This window comes from Homo sapiens, chromosome 5 (assembly GCF_000001405.40).
Source record: "Homo sapiens chromosome 5, GRCh38.p14 Primary Assembly".
Classification (NCBI taxonomy): Eukaryota; Metazoa; Chordata; class Mammalia; order Primates; family Hominidae; genus Homo; species Homo sapiens.
Genome location: NC_000005.10, coordinates 14924032 through 14928279, shown reverse-complemented (window position 1 = coordinate 14928279; position 4248 = coordinate 14924032). Strand labels below are relative to the sequence as shown.

Sequence of the window (4248 nt, the reverse complement as noted above, 5' to 3'; positions counted from 1 at the left end):
CACTATGCCCAGCTGATTTTTGTATTTTTAGTAGAGACAGGGTTTCACCATGTTGGCTCAATCTCTTGACCTCATGATCCGCCTGCCTTGGCCTTCCAAAGTGCTGGAATTACAGGCGTGAGCCACTGCGCCTGGCCTAAAACACAATTTAAAGGGCAAAAAAAATCATGACTAGTATTTTTTTTTTTTTTTTTTTTTTACAAAATAACCTGTGGTATCTCATAAAACCCATTTGGGAAAATGTTTAAGTAACTTGAATTAAGATTCACTTAGGTGGGGCATGGTGGCTTATGCCTGTAATTCCAGCACTTTGGGAGGCCAAGGCGGGCAGATCACCTGAAATCAGGAGTTCCAGACCAGCCTGGCCAACGTGGCAAAAACACATCTCTACTAAAAATACAAGAAAATTAGCCAGGCATGTTGGGGTGCACCTGTAGTCCCAGCTACTTGAGAGGCTGAGGCGGGAGAATCACTTGAGCCTGGGAGGCAGAGGTTGCAGTGAGCCGAGATCACGCCACTGCACTCCAGCCTGAGCAACAGAGACAGACTTCGTTTAAAAGGAAAAAAAGACTCACTTGGAATCCTGGTCATGAGTCTCTCCAGCCTGAGGGACAATCAGTGAAAGACATTGCAGAAAGGAGAGCTCAGATGCTGTCTACATCTAAGGTGTGCTTACATCTTTTACTTAACATAGTCATTAGTTCTATTGTAAAGGTTCTGTGTTTCCAAAAGTTCCTTTATTTCATTCACCACCTGTACCTGGCAGTCCACACTAGTAGAGTTTTCTTTGGAAAGTTCGAAGAGAACAAGGTAAAATGTCGCTTGCTTTCTGATGTTTTGAAGTAAAGAAAAAAATATAAGGAAGTTATTTAGGTCCATTATTTAGGTTCATTTAAACTAGGTATGCTATTTATAAGGAAATGTAATCCTACCTAAACCCTGATGGAGTTGTCACAAATGACATCATCCAGAATTAGAAACAATTTTCCTTCATTTTAGGTAACAAAAATATTTTGGGACAATAGAGGCTACAAGGAGTTGAGCAGCAAATGCAGCTGGAAGTCTTCATGATCCAAAGGCTTCTCCATGGAGGAACTCTCAGCCAAGAAGCTCAAAGATGGACATAGAGACACAACAGTCCCCTACACATCCTTGAGATGCACAGATTAGCACTCCACGTTGTGAAAGCTGCTGGTAAGTGCTGGTAGTAGGGCAGCCTTGGATGGAAGAAAGCCACAGAGGAAGCCATGATGTAGACAAAAGGACAGTTTCCATTTTGCCCCTTCTCTCTTCTCAGCCAGTCACCTGCAGCAGCAGCAGTCCAGGTCAGAGCCTCCTGCCCCAGAGGAAATCTTGTCATTTCGCTCGACAAAGGTTCCATACCCTCAGCACCCTGACTTATCGCCATCTTCTCTAATAAGATAAGTGTCTGACAATTTCACACTCAGGTTGGCCTCTCTCCCAAAGGATATTGGACTCAGGACTCTAGTAATTCCAAAGGGATGAGTCTGTATTAGGAAGAATTGTAAACAAGCATAATGAGCCTAGTGGAGTAGAAGTGACATATCTGGTAGGCCAGGCGCGGTGGCTCACATCTGTAATCCCAGAACTTTGGGAGGCCAAGACAGGTGGATCACTTGAGATCAGGAGTTCGAGACCAGCCTGGCCAACATGGTGAAACCCTGTCTGTCTCTACTAAAAATGCAAAAATTAGCCAGGCATGGTGGTGCAAAGCATGTGGTTCCAGCTACTCGAGAGGCTGAGGCAGGAGAATCTCTTGAACCCAGGAGGCAGAGGTTGCAGTGATCCAAGGTTGTGCCACTGCACTCCAGCCTGGGCGACAGAGTGAGACTCAGAAAAATGACATATTTGGAGGTAGGAAATCTGAACCTTAGACTTGACCACAAAACCTTCTCTCTGGGCCTCAACTCCATCATCAGCAAAGCCAGGGGGCTGAGGGGATGTGCGAAGATCTCTTCCAGTTCTAGCACTAGAAGACCCTAAGAAGGCTATGATGCCTTCCCGGTACTGGTAAGCCAGGGGGCCAGCCCTGCCTGTGGGACAAATAAGGCAGAGACAGAGGCTATGACGAGGTTACAAGCACAGAGTGAGTCAGTCTGGAGGTTAGGAAAAGCAGCCAGCCGGAAATCAGCCCACACTGGGTAAGGATGTGTGGGTGGTGGAGAACGCTCCCTCACACCAGATCTTTCACCACAGCTGCCTGCATTTCACCTTCTCTGTCATCCTCAGAGACGAGATGCAATGAGAAGCAAAACATTCAGAAGGCAAAGGTGGTGATTAGGCCTTGTAATCAAAAGGGACCCTACTGCTCTCGACAAGCCATTAGCTTTCCCAGCAATTCAGTGCCCCCCATTTAAGTCTCTTGACTGTCTGTTAAAGATGCTGTGACTTCTGTCCGCTGTCGAATGACTGATATAGTCAAGAGACCATGGGACAGATTCTCGGGTAATTCTGATTTTATTTCCTGAAAAGAAAAAAGTAGAATCTTTTAAAAAATATATCAACCTCATCCATCACACACTACAAATTTTCCCTGTGATTGAAGACCTGTGTTCAACATAGCAAACCTCTTTGCCCTCACACCTGGTTTTAAAATTAAGCTTGAAAGTAAAAGGTTTTATTATGTACTTGTTTTTAATAGTCAAAAGTTCATGACAGTGGATGAGTGTGTTTCATAATTTTTGTTTGTAATGGAAGCCACAGTTAGACATTTAAAGCAAGTATAGCAGGCTAACAACCTCTCCTTCCTGTGGTTAAAATGATAGGAAGTGATTTATAAACTGCCATTAGAGTTAGCTCAGCTAAGCAATATTGGCTTTTGTTAGCATGATCTAAAACTCTTGGCAAACTAAAATGAAAAGCGTAATCTTCATCTGTTGTCAAACGATGAGATTCATTACCCAAAAAAGTCGTAAGACTTAAATAAGGATATAGATGTATAAGATCTTTTTAAAATTTAGACTTACATGCATAACCAGGAGTTATCTTAATTCAGTATTGGTGGTCTATAACTCAGATCTTTAGAAAATAAGCTAATCACTAGAGAGATTAAAGAGAGATTAACAATAGGAAGCTGTTCTTTTACTAACCTCTAAAAACCAGATATGGGCTACACCTGAATGCAAAACACTATCTGTAATAATTGCAATGAAAATTTTAGCAAAATCATAAAAACCTTATTGCCTTCTGAAGATCAAGCCCATTTTCCAATAATTGGTTAATTCAAATGAAAGTCTCCACCTTCTTAATTTGGGCCCATTGTTAATCTCTCCACAGAAAACCGCACAAGTCCTATCAAAGACTTTTGTGAAAAACCACTAATTAAAGAGAAGTTTGTATCTGACATAATAGAGATTCTCAAATATTTGTTGATTAATTGTCCTGCATTGTTACTCTCTAGTGCTTGTATTAACCAAAGAGTATTGTCTTGGCCCTGGAATAGAAAAACATATTTGAGGCTGGATGCAGTGGCTCTCAACTGTGATCCCTGCAGAGCTTTGGGAGGCCAAAGTGGGAGGATTGCTGGAGACCAGGAGTTCAAGATTAGCCTGGGCAACAAAGCGAGATCCTGTCTCTACAAATGTTTTTTTAAAAATTAGCCAGGTGTGTGTCTCATACCTGTAGCCCTAGCTACTCAGGAGGCTGGAGTGGGAGGATCAACTTGAGCCCAGGAGGTCAAGGCTGCAGTGAGCTCTGATTGCGCCACTGCACCCCAGCTTGGGATAGAGAGCAAGAACTTGTCTCAAAAAGAAGAAAGAAAGAAAGAAAGAAAGAAAGAAAGAAAGAAAGAAAGAAAGAAAGAAAGAAAGAAAGAAAGAAAGAAAGAAAGAAAGAGGAAGAAAGAAAGAAAGAAAAAGGAAGAAAGAAAGGAAGGAAGAAAAGCATATTTGAATGTCTCTAGAAATAAGCGGATAAAAATCTAGGTGTATCGAGAAGACTAATAAACTAAAAACTTTCAAAAAGTAAAAAAAAGAAAGCCTGGCTGTCATCCACAGTATATTTACATTTTGTTCAATCCTAGCATACACATAAAGTAATTTCACATTTGCAAACTCATACCCTTGTGAAAACACATTTGTAAACTATAGTAAAGTATTTGTGCATAGTTCTTTTTGTCTTTAGACTTAAAGATACAGTCAAAAACTCTTGCTTTTTTAAAATTAATTTGTTTAGCTCTTTCGTGCCCCAATTCTGTGTGGTTCTAATTATAATTTGTAAAAGAGTTGA

General features: G+C 41.3%; 1 annotated feature.

The window, feature by feature from the left end:
- Nucleotides 1602-2801: an enhancer, noted in NCBI's record as "MED14-independent group 3 enhancer chr5:14925588-14926787 (GRCh37/hg19 assembly coordinates)". NCBI's record gives its function as "activates an origin of replication core promoter dependent on BRD2, BRD4, P300/CBP and CDK7 cofactors, and independent of MED14, by STARR-seq in HCT116 cells {active_cell/tissue: HCT116}" and the evidence as "EXISTENCE:reporter gene assay evidence [ECO:0000049][PMID:35650434]".